General features: G+C 51.2%; 1 protein-coding gene across 1 annotated transcript in view, besides 4 other annotated features; it reads right to left on the bottom strand.

The window, feature by feature from the left end:
• Positions 1–6,660, bottom strand: part of SFRP1 (secreted frizzled related protein 1) — a 47,512-nt gene extending 40,852 nt beyond the window's left edge. Inside the window, exons 1-2 of the mRNA NM_003012.5 lie at positions 5,803–6,660; positions 648–725 (exon numbers count right to left, since the gene is read on the bottom strand). Coding sequence (NP_003003.3) covers positions 648–725; positions 5,803–6,346 — 622 coding nt within the window. The 5' untranslated portion in view covers positions 6,347–6,660. The remainder of the gene's footprint in view (positions 1–647; positions 726–5,802) is intronic.
• Positions 4,838–5,609: an enhancer, noted in NCBI's record as "NANOG-H3K4me1 hESC enhancer chr8:41165170-41165941 (GRCh37/hg19 assembly coordinates)". NCBI's record gives its function as "activates a minimal SCP1, AML or CMV promoter by ChIP-STARR-seq in naive H9 embryonic stem cells {active_cell/tissue: H9 hESC(naive)}" and the evidence as "EXISTENCE:reporter gene assay evidence [ECO:0000049][PMID:30033119]".
• Positions 5,610–6,380: an enhancer, noted in NCBI's record as "H3K4me1 hESC enhancer chr8:41165942-41166712 (GRCh37/hg19 assembly coordinates)". NCBI's record gives its function as "activates a minimal SCP1, AML or CMV promoter by ChIP-STARR-seq in naive H9 embryonic stem cells {active_cell/tissue: H9 hESC(naive)}" and the evidence as "EXISTENCE:reporter gene assay evidence [ECO:0000049][PMID:30033119]".
• Positions 8,300–8,827: an enhancer, noted in NCBI's record as "NANOG hESC enhancer chr8:41168632-41169159 (GRCh37/hg19 assembly coordinates)". NCBI's record gives its function as "activates a minimal SCP1, AML or CMV promoter by ChIP-STARR-seq in naive H9 embryonic stem cells {active_cell/tissue: H9 hESC(naive)}" and the evidence as "EXISTENCE:reporter gene assay evidence [ECO:0000049][PMID:30033119]".
• Positions 18,897–19,638: an enhancer, noted in NCBI's record as "H3K4me1 hESC enhancer chr8:41179229-41179970 (GRCh37/hg19 assembly coordinates)". NCBI's record gives its function as "activates a minimal SCP1, AML or CMV promoter by ChIP-STARR-seq in primed H9 embryonic stem cells {active_cell/tissue: H9 hESC(primed)}" and the evidence as "EXISTENCE:reporter gene assay evidence [ECO:0000049][PMID:30033119]".

Raw genomic sequence — 20,102 nt, forward strand, 5'->3', positions numbered from 1 at the left:
CTTCTCCTGGAGCTGCGAGTGCTGGTTCAGAATTCTCTTTCGATGGAGAGTGACTTGGGAAGAAGAGAGAAAAACCACCCTGCTGTGGGGATGTCCATTTTTCTTTGCCTCGCGGAACCTGATGAGGACCCCCACTCTGAATCCCCTAAGCATTGAACTCTCCCCTCCCTGGGAAGGCACCCAGAGGGCAGCCATTTAAATCCTGGACAGAGTCATGCTGACACCTAGGGGTAGATGTTAAAAAAAAAAAAAAAAAAAAAGAGCCAGTCCGGAAAAAACCGGGCCCAACCAGACACAGTAGCAGGTGGCAACTTGTACTCCCTGCAGCTTCTGAGAAGGAGCTGCTGTCCTTCCCTGCTCCTCTCGACCTGTCCCCAAATCAGCCTCCCTGCATGCCTAGAGAAGATGCCCAAAAATCTGTCCAGCGATCCCCCACAAAGGAGGGCAAAGTATGGCCTTCATCAAAACTGGCCGGTTCTGGACCCTGTCTAGTCTCCCATCTGCCTGAGAAAAGCAGCCATTTGGAGAGGAATGAGGTAGAGAATATGGAAAGCTGCAACGAGATACATCAGCAGGGCCTCCGTCTGGCAGAGGCACAGACCAGGAGGTTCCAAACCTTCCAGAGGCAGCTAGAAACGCTTTCTTACCAAACTCGCTGGCACAGAGATGTTCAATGATGGCCTCAGATTTCAACTCGTTGTCACAGGGAGGACACACCGTTGTGCCTGGGAAAGGAAGTAGGGAGAAACGGAACTGTAAGTTACAGAGCAGGAAGGGAGCAGCCCCTGGGGAAAAGATCGGCCCTGGGTCCAGGCTGAAAGTGGCTAAAGGTCTTCTGGAACTTCTGAAGGGGACCTGAGAATTGAAAACAAGAAGCCTTGAGCCCAGGGTCTACAACCAGAGCAGGCGCAGGTTTCTTGAAACATTTTGGCCCAGAGCTGCTAAATGTGACACAGTTATTTAAGCCAGCATAACCTGAGGCTGGGTGGGTGCAGGTCACATGAATGATGACTTGTGGGGCGCTGTGAGTGCCGGGAAAAGCTGGCTTACAAACCCACAGAGATCTCTTCCTGGTGTTTGTTTCCCATCCTCTCCCTTCTCCTTTCAATACCATCCTCCGATTCCTGCCCCCTTCCCATTTCCACACTCCCAGCTAGCCTGCTGATCCCTCTGACCAGGTCTCCAGGAGCCAAGAGAGAAAGAAACTCAGCCAGACTCACAAACTCCAGCTCTCGGCCCCTGAACACCTCCTCTCCAAAAGGGCCACCGCAGCAGGAGGCCAGGGCAGGCGGGCGGGGTGGGGCACTAACAGGCGCTGCCAAATGGGAGGACAGGGCTGGATAGGAAGGGGTCCTTCAGAGGCTCTTTCCTGGGCAACTGTGAAGTGCTTTGAAGAGGAGGTTTGTGGGGGCAGACGTGCATAACGTTGGAAGGCAGCTCCACTGCCTGGGAGGAGATGTCTGAGGCCAGGGCAGAAGCCTCCTCCAAGCCAATATACTGCTGAAGTCAGAAAATCCAGTGGAGGTAAAGGACTCCAGCTTCCCAGGACAGAGGGAGAGCAGGACGGCGCTTTCCTCCAAGAGCTGAAGTGGCTTATCATCATTGTCATCACCTTCACCTATCAAGCAGCCTGGAGCTTATCGACTGTCTAGGAAAACATCACGAGCACATTCTAGGGGCACCCCACCCCCGGGCACAGCACAGGAGGCCAAGCCAGGCTGGAGCTGAAGAGCACAGGAAAGTCACCGCTGACCCTGCACTCGGGGAGTGCAGGTGGGGCTTGGTGTGCTTGGAGCCCACTGCTCTTCATCCTCCTCCACCATGGCTTCCGTGGCAGCATCTCCCTCCCCATCAGCCCCCCTTATGGCTCAGACATTGAAATAGGCAAAGGCTCCCTAAGTGGAAGAGAAGAGGGGACCTGCAGAGCACCCCCAGATCAAGGCTGCCCTCAGGACACAAGTGGCCCATAGACCACTCCCTACTTCCAAACAGGGTCCCTGCAGGGCCCAGCAGAGACCCCATCCTTAGTTTTTATTGACACATTCCTCTCCCACCTTTACTCTGCACCCAGGAGCAAACACCTTCCAGATTCTCAGTGCAGTTAAGAACCACGCTCCCAGCAGACGATGGCATGACTGTCCTTAGCCCAGATGCTGGAAATTTGCTTTGCACCCAGAACTTGAGACTGGGTTCTAGAGGTGGTAATTCTCACAAAGGAGACAACTTACCACAAATTTTGCATTATGGTTTTTGCTTCCACATGGGGAAAAGGAAGTGTGACAATATGGAAAGGACCAGGTTACTTGCACAAGGAGAGTGAACTGTGCTTTTGGGTTTTCCTTGTTTAGGTTATTTTGAAAAAGGAAAAGTGGGAGTTACACAAACACACATAGCAACGTTCTGTGAATACAATCTTGACCAAATAGTGAAGTCAGGGTGATCCAAACATAAAGGGCACATCTCTGCCCGCTCCACACACTCACTGCATCTCCTCTGGACACTTGAAGTTCGCCTGAACCAATCGGCCAAGGAGGGCTCTGCACTTCTCAGGGACATTTTCCTCAGTCCCGTCAATTACATTTGGACTTCAGTGCCTCTCAGAATGGCAGGAGCTCGTTGGGGTGGGCTCTGTGTGTTTTTACCACGGCTTTCCCCTATCTCAGCTTTTCTAACGGCTGACTCTGGAGCAGCCTGATCCAGAGAGAGAAAGAGAAATGTGTGATGCGGTATTAACCTGCGCCTCATTGGTGCGTCTTGGGGCTCTACAGGCTGCCTCTGCAGGAGAAATCCACCCAGTCATCCTTCTGAGAGGTGGAACTAAATCGCTGTTTTCAGTTGTATTTAAAATAATGTTTAAAGCAAATGAACAAAAAAAGCAAAGGTTTTGTGTTTATTAATATTTAAGGGTGTGTGGAGGAGACAGCCCAACAGCTGAATCAGGATTAAGTGATTTTTGTGATACATCAATCCACACACACACAAGTGCTTTCTCAGTCTCTCTCTCTTTCTTCTCTCTTTCCCTTTCTCACACACAACCCCCACAATCTTCCCTGGCCAGTTCCTGGGGGGACCAAAAGGGAGCCCTAAGGAAGGCTTTCTGGGGAACAGAGGGCTCTGTGGCCTCTGCCACACTGACTAAATGCACAACATGCCCAAGCAACAACAAAATCAAACCCAATGTGCTGGCTCATACAACTTCACCCAGTAAAACCAGGCAGAGAGGGAAACAACAATGCATCAGCCTGGGAGTTCACAGTTCTAATGGAAGTGCCAAATTCAAAAATGACTTCCCTAGAAAAAGAGCAATTGCCTCTTCCCTAACAGGAGCTTCTATGGCTTGGGTATCAGCCTTTGCAGGGGAAAAATGTCAAGTCATTTCTCATTATCAGGTTTCTCCTTAATAACACATGACCACAGACAGCTGGCCAATAATCCAAAACTGAATTTGCCCAAGTGTGTGAACAGAAACCAGTATGCAAAGATATGACACTGCTTTGAAAATGCATTTTAATTTTAAAGAATAAAAGCATAAAGAATAAACGAATAAAAGAGTAGTGCATGCATACTTATTCTCATTGGAAAGTGCCAGTTACGACCCCACAGCCACAAGCCATAAGGTTATGAGGATCAGTAGTCTGGTTTGTCTTGACCTGCCCTCTACACACCTACACACACACACACACACACACACACGCCCCACCCTCCCCTCCACAGGGACCTCGCAGGAAATCACGTGGGGCTCCCTTACACCAGGGATTGCAGTCCTGGGGAGGGTGGTGTGCCATCTCAGGGCAGAGCCCCCCACCAAAACCACTGAGGGGAAAACCAGTCCCAAGCCCCACTCCCGACCGGCCCTCTCCCCACTTTTCTCTTTGCTCCTCAAAGACCTGTCTTGGGAGGGTGACTACCTGAGCGCTGCTGGGAGGAGTGGAGGTGAGTGAGGACGGTTCCAAGCCAGGCTGAGAAGGGCGCCGACCAGTGGAACTGCAGCCAAGGGGCAAAAGGTGTCCGGAAGACAGCGATTATGGGGTTTCCCCATCCCATCACAGCCTTTTGGGGGCTGGGGTGAGGGATTCTTTCCTCTCTTCTTCAGGCAACCCGTCCAATCCCCCCATGTTCCCTGTGGACTGCAGCACCTTTTCCGCAGCCGAGCCCCCTAAGGTGTCCACTCATGTCTGCAGACGGTCCCAGAAAGAGACCATCGGAAGCCATTGGGAATGGACTCCAGGTCAGGGCTGGGCACAGCCTCACAGGGCAGGGCTGGGCTAATCCCCGCTGGCTGAGGAAGGGGAGAAGGAAATTCCCGCAGGCTGCAGGGGATGGGTGCAAGCCAACAGAACACAAGGCGCTTTGTTTGCTCCAGGTAACTGCTCAGTTCTCGCTCACAAAGTGCAGATGCATCCGCTACCCTCACTCCACTCCCAACACCAGAGTTGACTCTGAGAGCAGCGGTGCCCAGACCTGGCCACTGCGGGCAATCAGTGCCGTTCCCATCCAGCCATCCAACGACAGTCACTGTGGACCCATCTCCACCCTCCCTAGAATAAGCAAAAGCATCTAAAATTTGGGGTATCCCTTTCCCCCACCTGCCCAAATCCTCACTCTGAGGAGCCAGGTGACTGCACTCCCCTCTTTTAGCATCAATAACAGAGGTTAAAGACACTTTAAGGTGAGCTAAGTGTAGGCAGTCTTTCTCCCCCACCCTAAAGGCCCTCCTCAAAAAGCCCTCAGGAAGCCTGCGTCTGTGCTAAGCGCAGCTGGGGTACAGCTCCCCAATCCCTGACCCTCTCCACACCTCAGAGCCTAAACTTCGCTTCTAAAGAATTCTGGGTTGAATTTACTTCTATAGAAGTCAGGTCTGTGATGTGTATATTTTATCTTTATATCTATTTCATTTTATTTGACTTCCCAGGATTTTTTTTTCTTCCCCCTCAAGAATTGCTCTTTAAACATAAGGGGGTTTTGAGAGGAACCTCGGGCCGGTCCCTCAGGCTGTTAGGAAAGTCTGCATTTTGCAGAGCTGCTCTCCCCGGGAGGAGATGAACAATGAGCTAATTACATTTTTATCTTTCTAATGAGCTGAGGATTTGTGTAAATGAGAAAAGCAGGGGGTACGCTAGAGGGAGGGAGAAAAGACTTTCCACCCCCAGCCCTCCGAGGGCAGAGCTGGTACCTGGAAGGGGTGGAGAAACAGAAGTCCCCACGGTTCCTAAACTTTCTCAGCCAGTTTTGCAGCAATCCCAAGGCTACTTGACTGAATGACCAGTGAAGGAAAGGGCTTGGTTTTATTTTTTAAATCTTTGTCGAACCTATGAAAATAAACAAAAGCTGCTCCAAGCATTCTCTCGGCCTTTCTGAACTTTCTACGCTTTGGGTTTTTGTTTTTTCCTCCCGTCTCAGAGGTTAAAAACTTCGATAGGGACTCGGAGTCCTCCTAGAGGAGAGGGAAGCTCCCCTGTTATTTAAAGCGCAAGGCTTTGTTTCAGGTATGGGAAAGGCGAAGTTGGATCCCAGGAAGAGCGGCTCCGGGGACCACAGCGAGTCCCTGCGAGGCCAAGGCGCAGAGCTGCCGCTCCCGGGCCAGCCCCGCCGTGCACCTGGGTCGCGAGGGGCGCTGAGCGATACCTGGGACAGACCAGACGCGCTTAGGAATCACGTGCACAGCATGCGAGCAACCTCGGGCCCTCAGTCCCCAGCACCGGGACCCAGCGGCGGGCGGGCGTAGGGTGGCGCGGGTTCTCCTGCAGCTCCGGCCGGGGGATGGAGGGGGCGGCTCGCGCACGTGGGAGGAGGCAGCCTTACCTTGGGGCTTGGAGGCTTCGGTGGCATTGGGCGGCGTCATGGCGATGCAGACGTCCCCCTCGGGGAACTTGTCACACTTAAGCATCTCGGGCCAGTAGAAGCCGAAGAACTGCATGACCGGCTCGCACGAGTCGCGCACGGCCTCGCAGAGCCAGCGACACGGGTAGATGGGCCGGTCCAGGCAGACGGGCGCGAAGAGCGAGCAGAGGAAGACCTGGGTGCCGGCGTGGCAGTTCTTGTTGAGCAGGGGCACCCAGCTGCTGGCCTGCTGCTTCACCTCCGCCATGGTCTCGTGCTCCAGCAGGTTGGGCAGCACCATCTTCTTGTAGCCCACGTTGTGGCACAGCCGCAGGTCCGCGGGGATGTCCACGCACTGAGGTGGCTTGGTGTAGAAGCGCCCGCTCTGGTACGGGCCGATGTCCGACTGGAAGCTCACGTAGTCGTACTCGCTGGCCGAGCCCACGGCCAGAAGCGCCGCGCCCAGCGCCAGCAGCACGCCCAGGGCTGCCCCGCGGCGGCCCCCCTCGCTGCGCCCGATGCCCATGCCGGCTCTGCGCCCTGTTCTCCGCGACGTCGGGGCTGCCTCCGCCGCCTCCCCGCGCGCGTCCTGCCGCAAACTTCCAGGGACCTCCGGGGACAAAAGGCGCAGTCCCCAGCGTTGCCCGGCTCCGCGGCCGCAAGCTGCTGCCCGGTCCCCCCGGCCAGTGGCGGCCCTCGGCCTGCGGTCGGAGGCGGCGCGGGCGGGGAGGCGGCGCTGCGGGCTGGGTGCGCCCCGGCTCCCGGAGGTGCGGCGAGCAGGAAGGCGCGGGGCGGCGGGCGCGCGGCACTGACTCCGGAGGCTGCAGGGCTGGAGTGCGCGGGGCTCCTACGGCCGAGCCCTCGGAGCCGCCCCGCGCAGCCAATCAGCTCCCGGCGGGGCGAGCCGCACTCGTTACCACGTCCGTCACCGGCGCGGGAGCCAATCGCCTCCCTCGCGAGCGGGTTCGGTTTACTAGAACCAGACGCGGCTCAACACCCCTTAAAAAACAAAACCAAAAATACATAAATAAAAGGGGGAGGAGGAAAGAGACAAGGGGAGAAAAAGAAGGGGAATGGATCACGGCGTGGGGTGGAGAGAGACCAGGGCGGACGCTGTAATTAACTCGCATTGGCTTGCAGAGAAGCGGGGAGCCTGGATCATACTTGCAAACCCATGAAATTATGAAGACTTTTTTTTTTTGAGACAGTTTCGCTCTTGTTGCCTAAGCTGGAGTGCAATGGCGCTATCTCCGCTGACTGCAACCTCCGCCTCCCGGGTTCAAGCGATTCTCCTGCCTCAGCCTCCCGAGTAGCTGGGATTACAGCCGCGTGCCACCATGCCCCCGCTAATTTTTTGTATTTTTAGTAGAGACGGGGTTTCACCATGTTAGCCAGGCTGGTCTCGAACTCCTGACCTCAGGTGATGCTCCTGCCTTGGCCTCCCAAACTTTTTTTTTCTTTTTCTTTACACTGCTTCCTAATTTCAACCAACAGCCCTTTAGACTAGCGGCTCCTCTCCTCGGTTCTCTAGCTGCGGTGCAGACAGGTGGTTTCCCAACTAACAGGGGTTCAGGAAGGCTGAAGCGAGGGAGGTCTGCTTGTAAATACCCAGTGGGCCTGGCTGGGCTCCCTGGAAGGCGAGGCGAAGGCGCAGTTGGAGCTGTTTGCTGTGAGCAGCACCTCTCCAGGTGGGGCCGCCCATGGTGGCCCTCAACACTGGGGCAGTGGGTGGACTTTGCCCGGTGTGGCGGCAGGAAGAGCTGCTAGCAACGGTATTAGCTCTGGGAGGACACTTTTTTAAATATATAATATATATTTAAATAGAAAAACCCTACTCAAGTCCTAGCCCGGGCGACAGCACATCTGTGTGTTTGTGGTGTGGAAAGCCAAAACATTAAAAACACATGTGCACTTATCAGCGTGGCTGGTGTAAATACCAAGTCCATCACTCAGGCACACATGCTAAGGTTAGACCCAGTCCAGGAACTTCAAGTTAAAATCAAGGGTCCCCACTAGGGCAGACGCCAAGAGGACGGTATCAGCACAACAGCTCGGCCCCCAGGAACAGAAGTCTCTCTGCCACCTTCTACCTCGAATTCCTGAGAATTCTTCGTAGGTTTCAAACATTCCCCTGAGAGGGAGGGTTAAGCTCTGGAGAGCTGGGAGTGAGACCCGGACTATCCCGGGACAGAAGACCACAGCAAATAGTTCATGAAGTTCCTGGAGTCTCCATATCTTCTGTCCCTAAGTGCGGGTGGAGAGAGGCTGATATATTCATAGCCCAGTCTGAGCGCACACCCCATGTGGCAAAGGGGTCACAGATCTTAGCGCTCCACAGAGACACTATAGGGCGCGCTGCCTTGCCCGCCAGCTTGTTTGTAAAGCTCTAGGGAGCTTGCTTTGGACTCTGCAAACCTAATTTCTTGATGGACAGATTCCAAGTGAAATGACTAGAGTTTGTGAAGAAGCAGGGCTGTTTTCTTAAAGCATTCGTGCCCGTACAGACACGGTGATTCCACGGTGCACACAGGAGGCTTCTGCAGATGGATGACTTCTCTGTCATTTCGTGGCCAATGGAAGATGCCTTGACACTCAAAAGGTGACATGGAGGCTGGAAGGAAAACACAGAGAAGAGAGAGCAAGATCGGGATGGCCAAGGGTTAATCCCAAGACAATTGGTGAGGCCGGCCTGTGGAGCTGAGGAAGACATTCCTCACAGAGAATAAGACCGCAGGAGACCCGGCAACTGTGTCTCAATTCAAGGGGCATTTAGAGAAAAATGCTGTTTGGTAGGGGGTCTTTTTGTCTCCTAGGGCCAGGCCCTCCACCTCAAGCCAAATGCGTCTGTTTGCTCACTGCAAAGATGGATGTTTGCAGATAACATCCTCTCACCTCTGAACCCAGGCTTAGCTGACCGCTCACTCACGTTTTCAGTTTTCCCGAATGGCAGGAGGACTTGTGTCTGTCCACGGTTAAATGCTGGAAATTCGTCCAGGTGACTGCCCTGGAAGTCCCAAGTCAGGAGTAAATCTCACAAATCCATTCAGGGGAAGACCTCGCCTATGTCTGGTCACTCCGAGTAGACTTTGATCACCTCCAGTCACCACCTCCCCCACTCACCCCTAGTGGTCCTACTGCTTTACTGACCCCTGCTGGGAACACAGTTGTCTCTCCGTGGAACAGGGAGTGATGGGAGAAGACCCCAAATCCTAAATCCAGTGCACTCCTGACTCCTCCCAGACCCAGCTGGAAAGGAAGGACCCTAAGACCTCAGTCCCACCGAGAGACTTTAATCCATTCCTGGGATGTGGGAGAGGGACCACCCGCCCCCCGTCCTCTCGGGAAATTCACATGCTGCATAACAGCACCAGGCAGAACAGCCTGAAGACTTTGTATTGCAGAGGTACATACAGTACTTTTGTCCTTTTACTTATTGTCAACTCTTTGCACTTCAAAATCCAGTCCCCCTTTTCCTAATGGCAAGTGTGTGTGTGTTTGTGTGTGCACGCACTCCTGTGTGTACAGCAGAAGGTTCTAGAACAAAGGCCCTTTAAACATGCAACTGACATGACAGAGCTCCCAGATATGAGGGTTCCTGAGTATGAGAACTGTGGGCCAGGAGACATATCCTCCCTCCTTTTTGAATGGCTTAAATAAACAGAGGCAAAATGCAGCTTTAACTTATGTTTCTCATTTCCCAGAAGTTCTGCTTTTCCCACACTGCTAGATGCCCATGCATGAAGCCTGAAAGTTCGTCCTCTGTTGCTTCAAAACACCAGCTTCAGGAGGCATTCTCAGTTCTTCAGCCTCCACAGAGGGTCACAGAGGGCCCCCCCAGGTGCCTCCCAGGTGGCCTCTTCCCACACGCAGAGCTTTTTCCTGGCTTCTCCTGGAAAAACTGGGAGGGGAGCCTTCCCAGCCACAGCTCCCATTGTGTTCCACTATCATATCATCAGTGATGTCTGCCATCCTCTCCAAAGATACATTCAGCTCGCTCTCCCTCAGCCAGCAGCACTAGGGAGGGAGCTCCCGCCTGAAGCTGGGTATCTGTGGGTCAGGGGCAATGCCAAGGAAAGCATGCTGGCCCACAGTCAGTGGACACAGGCTACAGCCTCAGCTCTGCTCCTAACTGGCTGGGCGACTCATGGGAATCGCACTTCCTCTCTCTGGTCTTAGTGTTCTCATCTGTGAAACAGAGCTATTAATGCCTGCCCGGCTGCCCTGCTAGCTCAGAAGTGTGAATTCTCAGCATGTAGGGTCACTCGAGGCACATCCTTAGACTTCCAGGCAAGTCTGAAGGGGCCAAAGTGGTATTCGTTGTCAGATGCCTTGAAACCTGGTCATGCTCTTACTTGGACAAGCTTCTTCTGCATTCTGCCTCTGTAGATGTGTAATCCTGATCCTTTCTAACTCTTTAAAGAACTGGCCTGACCTGCTAACTGAAGTCTGGGAATGTCTGGGAAGCATCTTAAAAATTTGGAGTTGAAGGCAAATTCCAGCCCCATCTCTTCATCTCTTCTTAGAGTAAGCACCCCTACCTCTTCATCTTTTTTTTTTTTTTTTTTTTGATACAGAGTCTCACTCTGTTCCCCAGGCTGGAGCGCAGTGGCAGGACCTTGGCTCACTGCAGCCTTGACCTCCTGGGCTCAGGCAATCCTGCCACCTCAGCCTCCCAAGTAGCTGGGACTCCAGATGCAGGCCACCACACCTAGCTTTTTTTTTTTTTTTTTTTTTTTTTTTTTTTTGAGCAATGGGATTTTGCTATGTTATCCAGGCTGGTTTTGAACTCCTAGCCCCAAGCAATCCTCCTGTCTCAGCCTCCCAGAGTGTTGGGATTACAGGGGTGAGCCACCGCACCCAGTCCTCTGCACCATTCTTGACAGAAGCTAACGGAGCATCCCTTTTATTTGTTTGGGATATAGTCACCAAGTTCAGACAATCCACTAGAATGTTCTTCCTTCCTTGAAGGGAAACTCTGCTCCCTGTAATTTCTTACTAGGCCATCCTAGGATCAGTTCCTATCGTAAGCAGCCAGGAAGACACCCTCAGCGGAGCCCCAAACTGGGAGGCCAAGGTCACCGTCCCCGCCCCTCCACTCAGACAGTCACACCTGCCCACTCTCCAGGCGAGGTTCTGTCAAACTGGGCTTGACAATTTTTGTTCATTTATTACTACATTAATTAATTTATAATTTATATTATAAATATATTCATGCCTATAAATATAATTTTTATATAAATAAATGAAGACTTGTATACCACCTCTTAGAAAGAAGAGAACTAAAAATAAAAGGCATATTTTAAGATGACTTTTTAAATAGAAATAAAAATATCAAATGGACTATTTCTCTGATTAAAATTCTCACACACTCTTTGTCCACAGGAAAAAGCCCAACCTCCAGGATAGTATCAAGACTCAGCCCTGACCCCCATGACCTCTCCAGCTTCACCTCCCCAGCACCCCCCACCAGCCTAGTTTCCAGTCTCCAGAAGTACTTGCACTTTCCCACCCAATGGCTTCTCGCTTGCCTCTCATCCTGGGCTCATGCTGTGTGCACATGCTGTTTTCTCTATCTGTAATGCCTTTCACTACTTTTGTACAAACTACTACTCATAGGGTTTCCAGATTTACAAATAAAAATACAGGACACCCATGGCCAGGCACAGTGGCTCATACCTGTAATCCCAGCACTTAGGGAAAGTAAGGCAGGAGGATTGCTTGAGGCCAGGAGTTTGAGACCAGCCCGGGCAACATAGCAAGACCCTGTTTCTACACATAATAATAATTTTTAAGAATTATCTGATTAGGCACAATTTTAAGAATTTTAAGAATTAGCTGATTAAGAATTAGCTACAGGCACAGTGGTACGTGCCGGTAGTCCCAGCTACTTAGGAGGCTGAGGCAGGAGGATCGCTTGAGCCCAGGAGTTGGAGGCTGCAGTGAGCTATGATCATACCACTGCACTCCAGCTTGGGTGACAGAATGGCACCCTGTCTTTAAAAATAAAAATTAAATTTAAATATTAAAAAATAGAACATCCAGTAAAATTTGAATTCCAGATCAACAAGAAAAAACTTATTAAGTGTGTCTCAAATATTACCTGAGACATACATATACTATAAATTATTCATTGTTGAACTGAAATTCAGTTTACTGGGCATCATATATTTTATCTGGCAAATCCACCCACTTATCCTAACAATGTTGTCTCCTCCAGGAAGCCAGGCCTGACCTCCTCCATCCCTAGTCAGATTCACCCACTCTGTGCCTGCAGACACTCCGTGTACATTTATAACTGGTCCCTTCCATGTACATCGTACAGTGCAGTGAGCTCTTAGAGGCCAGGACCTTGTCTTATTTTGTCTTACCCATTCCACATCTCCAGCATCTAGTACAATGCCATGCATATACTGAGTGCTCAATAATTACGCCCACCCCAACAAACAAATAAAGGGGAGACAGACATGTGAAATACCCAGGTTCTTAGGGGTGCTACCCTTGCACATTGATTTTGTGCGATGTTTTCTGAGAACAAAGGTAATACGCCAGCATGAATAGCTCCCATCGTTCTCTTTGTCTTTGAAAAAGGAAAATCTTTTCTAGATCTGAATCCTAAGGGAACTGATCATCAGTGCCTTATACAAGGACAGCAAACATAGTGTGGGACTTCTTTATTGGATCTCTTCCCATCCCAGAGCTGACCCTGTGGACAGATGCCACATCCGATTCACTCCTCTCTCCCCAGGGCTTGCACCGAGCAGGTGGCTCCATGGAGGGTGGGTTGGTCAATGCAGTGGCCCATTCCCACAAATCCTCACACAATGCTGTATAAAAACAGGAGCTGGCATCTGGGAGGCTAGAGTTTCTGGGAGCCTTGTATGCCAAGTGGGGGTGGGGACTGGGGAGCAAGAGAAGGTAGAAGGGGGCTCCACAGTGTGACACCTGGAGTCGGATCCTGGCGACGGGGCTCAAGGCTTGGCTGGGACATCACAGAGCACCAGACACAGGTCTTTAGGAAGCCCCTGCCCCTCTGGGAATCCCAGGCAAGTGAAAGTGAAGTGGCACATGCTTCAGTGACCTGAAGCCCATAAATCTGCCGGGATGGCTGCGGGGAGGGCAGCGGCCCAGCGCCGGGACACATTCCCCGAGGAGCCATGTGCTTATTTACCTAACCCTTCAAGGCAGTGGAGCCAGACGGTGCATAGCCTTCATTGGGGGATTGAGCCTGGAGCAAGCCGGATATAAATGAGGTGCTAGCGAGAGGAACGGGGGAGTGCCCATCATCACACTCCTGCCTGGCAGGAAAGCCTTCCCTGCTCCCAAGAACTGGTAACCTCAGCTGGGGAAGCCTCGCCTCCAAGTCTCCATCCAGGCAAGCCTCCTCCCCACAGTCTCTCTCAGCCTGAATAACACATCTGCCATCTGCCATTTAAGGGGCATTACTCACCTGGGCGAAGGCAGAATCCCCTGTCGCATAGGAAGATGCCTTGCTGCAGTCTTTTCCGATTTGCTCTCTGCATGCATTATGGCATTTGGGCCTCACCAAAAGCTTCTGAGCTGGCTGAGAAGTTCATTACTTTCATTTGACAGAAGAAGATACAGAAGCTCAGGGTAGTGGGACCCTGACTAGCAGTCCAGCCACCAAAGCACTGTGGTGGAGGCCAGTCGCAGGTCAGGAAGCACAGATCTTTGGACTCCAAATCCTGCTGGCTTTGCAGTAGACCTGGCTTTGCTGAAGGCCAGTCCCTGGGGAGAGAAACCTGGAGAGCCCTTGCAGCCAGCAACATCTGATTGTCCATTCATTTACCAGGCTCTCTTCCTGGACCTCCACCAGAGACTGTACAAGGTGCACAAAAACGTGAGCCACGCATGTCAGACCCGTGACCGCTACAAGAAGATGGCCTGAGACGTGGCCCAGGAATTGAAGAAAGACACTTTCAGTTTTCAGAGAGAGAGAGATCCTTTTCTATGAGAAAATGTCCCAGGAAGGCTGGATGGCCACTGAGCCCACTGAGAGAGCGCTGCAGGTGCTCCAGAAAGAAAATGGCCACAACAGGCAGAAGCTGGCTGACTCCAAGGCCGTTTCAGGCTTTCCTGAGTGGCACTTTGGCCCCTAGGGCTCCACCCACAGCCCACAGGGGCCTGGAAGTGCCAGGGGGACTGTGAGCCTTCAGGGCTCCCAGGAGGGAGGCGGGTCACAATGCCAGGGTTTGGGTCCAGAGCACCTGCCAGTTTGATTCTGTTTTCCCATAACCAAGTCCTGAATGCCCAGAGACTCGGCACAACGTCAGCCGGTGCTCCTCCCTTTAAAGCACTTTTGATGGATCCCCTGTTAGTTTAGCTACTGTTCATTAGTTCCTGCTGAAATTGCTGTCATTGATGTTTGATAGATAGCATTAGGACTGTAAGGTACTATTTTCCAAATAAAGATTGTTTAATATAAAATATATATGTATTTTATATTATATATATTTTATAACATAATATATATGTGTATATAGAAAGCCCAATATGGCATGGCACCAACCAATCAGATTGCATGCAGACAAAAAAAACCTCCTTTGCAGCCTGACAGGTGCATGCCAGTGGGGTCCCAGTGTGGGGGAATTCATAGCCTCCAGCCTCTGTGCAGAGCTCACGCTGCCCCCACAAGCTGGGCCGTCTTCCCAGCACACATCTCAGGTTTGGCTAATGGGCTTCATCTGCCTGGTCTCTCCCCAGTCTCCCTGTACATCATGGCTGTCAGAGCACCACTCTTCTTGTTTTGCATGTTTGCATGTCCGGAGTTCTAGAAGCTTCTTGAAGACAGAATCTGTATCTTTTTTGTATTTGTATCTCTAGTGCCTGCCACATGGTAGGTGTGCAGTAGTCATGTGATTGCTGAGCAAATCACCGTCTCAAGACTCATCTTTTTCATTTGATTGTCTCAATACTCTGTACTTAGGGCACCTGAGGAACCACTCTGTGACTTGTCTCCTCTTCTGAAAAGTAGGGGTTCTGCCAGGCGCAGTGGCTCACACCTGTAATCCCAGCACTTTGGGAGGCTGAGGCAGGTGGATCACCCAAGGTCAGGAGTTCAAGACCAGCCTGGGCAACATGGCAAAACCCCGTCTCTACTAAAAATACAAAAATTATCCAGGTGTGGTGGCAGGTGCCTGTAATTCCGGCTACTCGGGAGGCTGAGGCAGGAGAATCACTTGAACCTGGGAGACAGAGGTTGCAATGAGCCGAGATCGCACCACTGCACTCCAGCCTGGGCAACAGAGCAAGACTCCTTCTAAAACAAAAATTAAATAAATAAAAATAAATGGAAAAAGTGGGGGTTCATAGGACCCTTCCAGTAGGAGGCTAAACAGAGGGATGCAGAGCAATGTGGGTGCATGGATGAGACAAACTGGGGCCTCCTGGAGAAAGGGTGTCCTGCAACCTAGGAACTGGAACAGGAGGAAGGTGTCAAACTTCCCGGTATGTGGAAGAGTTGCTCAAGATGGGTTTCCTCAGTCTTAAATAGGCATTGGATTCACCTAGGAATCTTGTTAAAATGCAAATTATGATTGAGTAGGTCCGAGGGGGGCTACTAAAAATTAGAACCTCCATGACAGATGATTCTAATTTTTACTGTCTCCTACAACTTTGCTCCTCCAAGTGTGGTCCGCAGACCAGCAGCACCAGCATCTTCTGGGAACTTGTTAGAAATGCAAATCTCAAGCCAGCTCTGGCCAGTGAGAAGGAGGTAGAAGTTGGTAAGTGTGGCACCCTGGAGCACATCATAAGAAAGATAGCCTTAGAGATTTTGCCTCTTCCCTCTGCTTCCCACCTGGAATTTAGCTGTGATGCCTGAGGTACAGCAGCTCTCTGGCAACCATGAGGATGAATGCCAGCAGACCAGTATGGTGGAGCAGAAGGAAAGAACCTGGGTCTCAAGGAGTCCCTGCACCAGCCCTGCACTGCCCACCTGGGGATTCTCACTGGGGAGACCTATAATCTGTCTCCCTCACTTGCTTAAATCCAAAGTCATTTTGATTTTCTCTTTCATGCAGCTAAAACCAAACCTCACTGGCACAGGTATGTAATTCTCACAATAGGCAGGAAGCTCAAAGACTGCAGGTTCTAATTTTTACTGTCTCCTAAGACTTTGCTACTCAAAATGTGGTCCCCAGACCAGCAGCATCAGCATCTTCTAGGACCTTAACAGAAATGCAGACACTCAGCCCACCCGCCGCCCACCCCAGGCATAACAATTAGTGTTTGCATTTTAACAAGACTCCTAGGTGAATCCGATGCCTGTTTAAGACTGAGAAACCCCATCTTCAGAAACTCCTCCATGAACCTGGAAGTTTGCACATCTTCCTCCTGTTCCGATTCCTATGGCTGTGGAGCACCCTTTTTTCTGTTGTCCCTATTTGTGTTCTGTCTCACCCATGAACCTGCATCGCTCTGTAGCCCTCTGTTTAGCCTCCCACTGGAAGGGTCCTATGAGCCCCCACTTTTCAGAAGAGGAGACCAAGTCACAAAGAGGTTCCTCAGATGCCCCAAGGACAGAGCATTGAGACAATCAAATGAAATAAAGTTCTCAGGCAGAAAGAGTGGACAAAGCAACTCTCTTAAGGACACAGGCGCCAGGAGGGTGGGGGCAGGTCACAAAGTAAAAGTGCAGGCAGTGAGGAAACGCTGCCTCTTGGCCCCTCAGAGGCTGACGGCAGCAGCAGAACAGACTTTGCTTTCTTCCCCACACGTGGTGGCACCAGCAGCTGTGTATCTGGAGGCTTCTGTAATCTTCCAGCAGTTTCCCATTCAATCATATTTAATATCTGTCCCTATAAAAACATTGCCTTTTATCAAATTCTTCTAACACAGCATTATAAGACAGCCATGGCTCCCCCACCCAGAAAAGCACAATTTGTCCATCGAACCCATTTGTTCTTTATTTTTTAACAGCAGTCTAGGCCACTGAATTGCTTAATACACGGTAGGAAGGTCCATAAATAACAACTTCCCATGGAGATCCACTTAGCCTTGGAGTGCTTTCCAAGTTCTGCATTAAGTCCTCTGGTGTGAAGGGTTTTCCAGCCATTTAGGTCCATAAATATATATAACCGGCTGCTTCCTAAATTGCTGCATAATCCTTACCACCATCACTTATGTTTTCTTTTATTGCCATTATCATTGGCCTCTTGACAGGAGAATAAAATATTCTTTCTGGAAGATGAAATGCTCTACATCCTGCACATTTTAACTCATCCAGATTCTTTTTGGTTTTATTTCCGTCCCCACCCCAAGGAAATCGACTCTTCACAATTAATGGGGATTTCAGATTGGAGTTTAATTGCATCCTCTCTCTGCTGCTGACACAGCCTTGGCCGGTGGCAGGCACTGTCTGAGCTGTGTTCTCCCAGTTCCAGAAGTCAATGAATCAACAGGTGTCTATCAATCAACTGCTGTGTGCAGGTTCTGTGCTGGGTCACGTGAGGAAAAGAGAACATCAAAGATAGATTCCCAACCCCAAGAAGCACAAAGGTGGGAAGGAAAGATAACATAAAGGATAGCAGGGAAGATAACAGAGCCCATGGCTGGGGAGAGTGGAGGTGGGAAGAGTTTGGACTGAGGGGATGTCACAGCCAGTCAGGACAGCATGCTTCTTCTTAGTAGATCTATCTGCCCACACTTTGTCTGGCAACCCAGAGAAACCAACAGACATGAGATGGACATGGCCCCAGAACCAACCCACTAGGACCCCACCTCAATCCCTCTGTGGAGTATGTTGCCCATACCCCACAGGACAGAGTGGGTGACAGCGCTCACTCTCTCTCCCTCTCACTTTCTCTTCCTCCCTCTCTTTCCTCCCTCCCTCTCTCTTCCCCCCCCCGCTTCTCTCTCCTTCTTTCTCTTCCTCTCCCTCCTTGTTCTCTCCCTTTCTACCCCCCTCTCCTTCTCTCCCTCATTCTTTCCCTCCTTCTTTTCCCTACCTCCCTCTCTTCCTCTCTCCCCCACCTCCCTCTCTTTCTCTCTCTCCCTCTCTCCCCCATCTCCTTCTCTCCCCCTCCCTCTTACCTCCTTCTCTCTTCCTCTCTCTCTCCCTCTCTCTCTTCCTCTCTCCTTTTCTCCCCCCTCACCCACCTCTATCATTTTTGTTCATGTCCCACAAACTATTCTGAACAAGCAGGCTTTGAGCCTTCTGATATTTCTCCCCAAGTCTGGGTGGGGGTTGTTAATGAGAGGAAGCACACTTGTAATCAATAAGCGGTGGAGCCAGGCAGCCCTAACACCCAAGAAAGGAGAGAGCACTCTGAAGAATGAGCTCATGCAGCCTGTGACCAGGGCAGTCATACTTGCAAACCTCTGTCTTGTTAGAAAAGACACCTGAGCCAGGACAGCTACACCCTGCCTTCCCTCCTTCCTCACCTTCAGCCTCTCTAAGGTGAAGGGCAGTCCTGGATGCAGCCCTCGCTTTGCAAAACACAGGAGCGAGAAGTAGGGACCCAGAGACTCACACAAACCCCTGCTCCCTACTTAAAAGGGCACTGATAATGAATGCCTGCATGCAGCCTCTCTGTCTGCAAGCCGCTCTCCCACTTATCTCTCACACATCATATTTCTCAAGGTTCGGGCATCACTGACCCTAGAATGAGAGATCTGCAGGCTGCTCAAAACAAGCCCCATGACTCTCCGTCCTCTGGAGGAGACTGTTCCTGCCAGGAAGGGGCTGCAGAGGAGAAGGAGCTGCAGACATATGTGGCACAATCAATGCAGGAGGCAGGGGCAGCGGTCCCCGTCACAGAGAAGTCACCGACCACCTCTGGCCTTCCCCTAGCCTCCAGGCTGCCCTCGTCACTGTGGTCCTCATGCCCCATTTCCACTGCTGGCCCTCTCCCCAGACTCTTGGTCACCCTCAACTCCTCTCCCATCCACATCGGGTGCCAGATGGGGTGCCTTCCCATGGCTGGCTTCAGGAACTCTTCTCCCCTCTGGGGTGGGGACCGGTGGGGCTGGAGAGCAGAGGGCTTGGTGGGGCGGCGGGGGCAGGGCCGGGGGTCGCAGTGGTCTATGGAATGCAGACCTCTGCCCACACTCAGGGGCCAGCCCAAAGGGCATAATAGAATACATTAGTCCCCAGAGCCATTCAGCCCTGCCTCTTTAAGAACAATGGTGGCAACTGAGCTAATTTTTGCCAAATGACTGGCTTCCGTCCATTGGGAGCAGAGTGGAGCCCACCAGACAAAGTCCATATTCAGGGCTTCAAGAGGGGCTGGCTGGTCGGCACTGGGGCACTGGGCTACTTCCCAGGACCAGCAACCAGAGCATCCCAGTGCCCAGGAAAGGGCCTGAAGCTGACACCAGCCACTCAGGCCATCTGTCCCGGGGCGTGGGGGTGAAGCTGCCACTGAAAACGGGAAGCACACTCTTCGTTTTCAATACAAGAGAGCCTTGGTGCAGTGGTTGACTACAGAACAGTCTTTATTATTTGGAGGTTCACTTAGGAAAAACCAACTTGGCTGCTGGAAGGGAAAGATGCTCATGTCAACCTATGTGAGGCACCTGCAATCAGGGAAAGAGCACTGGGCTAGGAGTCTGGTTTTCTAGCCTCAGTGGCCTTCCACAATCTCTTCTCCTCTCTGAGTCACAGGTCCTAAACATGTGAAGGGATTGGGCTAGATAGGCTCATGTCCTTTGTAACTTTGATGTTTTATGTAAAAAGAAAAGTCAGACCATGCTTCCTATGTGTCTCATAGTACATTGCTAAGCATTCAAAAAATAAAGGCTTTTGGAAGGAAGGAAGGAAGGAAGGAAGGGAGGGAGGGAGGGAGGGGGAGGGGAGGGGAGGGGAGAGAGAGAGGAGGGAATGTTTATGGAGAATATGGGATAGAAATATATAGTATGAATCCAATTTTGCAGACAGAACAGAAGGATAAGAAAGAGAAAGGAGGGAAGAAGGGAAGGAAGGAAAGAAGAAAAAAAGCTAAAAATCCTGGAAATAGGTACACTGAAATGTTAGCCACCTCTGGGTTTTGAGATTATAGGTGCTTTACACTGTCTTCTTTCTGCTTTTCTTCATTTTCAGAAATTTTCACAATGACCATATATCACCTTTGCAAAGAAATAAAGATTATTAATTTTAAAGAAAAAGAGATAGATACATAGAACAGCATCAGTATTCTCTTGGGTGGAAGAAAAAATGTGTGTCTCTGGTGTTAACCTCTGTGACGCACGTTCTTAAAAATCCTACTTCATCTGATGTGTCAGGTAATGATTGCAAAAGACTTGGGGTGGGGGGTGCAGGATGG

This window comes from Homo sapiens, chromosome 8 (assembly GCF_000001405.40).
Source record: "Homo sapiens chromosome 8, GRCh38.p14 Primary Assembly".
In the NCBI taxonomy this organism is placed as follows: domain Eukaryota; kingdom Metazoa; phylum Chordata; class Mammalia; order Primates; family Hominidae; genus Homo; species Homo sapiens.